The sequence below is a fragment of the Homo sapiens genome, chromosome 19 (genome assembly GCF_000001405.40).
Source record: "Homo sapiens chromosome 19, GRCh38.p14 Primary Assembly".
Classification (NCBI taxonomy): Eukaryota; Metazoa; Chordata; class Mammalia; order Primates; family Hominidae; genus Homo; species Homo sapiens.
Window position 1 is genome coordinate 56,534,710 of NC_000019.10, and position 1,446 is coordinate 56,536,155.

Consider the following 1,446-nt stretch of genomic DNA (forward strand, 5'->3'; position numbering starts at 1 on the left):
TCTGCTTTTAAGCCCAGTGAATTTTTTATTTCACATGCTGTGTATCTCAGTTTGATGAAGGCCAATTTATCACTCTACTGCTTTTAAAGTAGGCTCACAAAATCTAACCTAAGTGAGGTTTCACCTCTTGGTCTGAGGCTTTTTTTTTCCATTTTCCAATTAATAATAAGTTATGAGTAAATATTATTTATAATAAAAGACAAAGTCTATGCCACTGCTTTCCATTTTCAGGACTACCTATGGAAACCTTTGCTTTCCAGTCTGATGTTGACAGACCATTTTAACCAAAGCTGAATGAAAGTATTTGGGGTTTATAATAATTTTATTCCATCTTCTTATCCAAGTAAGGAAGCTCTCCACCATTCCTAGTTTGCTAAGGCTTTTTCTTTTTAAAATCACAGGTGTGAGCTGCATTTTATCTCAATCATCTATTGAGATGATTCCAGGAACTGTTTCATCCTTATTTATTAATAGTGGTGAATGATATTAACAGGCTCCCCACCGTGGCACTCCTGTGATAACTTCTTGGCAGTATGTACTGTTGGTTACCTGCTTGGCATCCAGTCTCCTTTTTGTCTTTTCTAACAAAACTCAACTTGTGCTCAGGTGTCTCTTCCACCCTCAGATGATTCATCGAAAGCTGACTGAATTCCCAGTGACAGGAGTAGACTGCCCTTCATCTTAGCCAGATATCACAAGGCTATTCCTGAGTGACTAAGGAAAGACTTATGTCCCATGATGTGGTAAGGCCCTATGGACATAAAACATAAAATACCTCTCCAGAGAAAAATATAGAATCAGAAATTATGATTTTATAGAAAATTCATATTTTTAATCAGTAGATTCCTTGGATAACTAAATTCATTGGACTAAGTATTATTTCCCAAATCAAATGTCATTATGTTGTACATTCTGTTTGTTAAACATCTGACACCTAAGCATATGACATCCTTTCTTTGTGCTATAAATTTTATTTTTGCCTATTGTGAGTATATATTACTCTTTATACTGAATTTTTAAAAAAATTAATAAAACAATTTATAAATATGGCAAATGTGAAGATTGGCAGTAGTTCATAAGTTGTATCAGCTTAATCTAAATGATTCAGCCGGGAGATTATTCATCTTTCTTGTTGGTTTCTGTTTTTCAAAAAGCTATAGTTTTGGGTTTATAAAAAAAGCACAGTGTAACTCCTGGTGGTTAAGATGAGATATTTTGTCAACTTCCTGCTGCAGGAGAACTTAATAATGAAATTATTCTTATAGCTCTCTAAAAATTTGGATATATTGAAATATTTTTCTTCATAATTCTTTAGTGTGCTTCTGTTGCTTCTCTGCTAAATATGAACAAGGACGCATATAGCCCCATATAATAGGAAAATAGGATATAGCAGTCATTTGAGGATAAGTGACTGCTACAATAAGATAAAAAAGGTATTGTCAACTC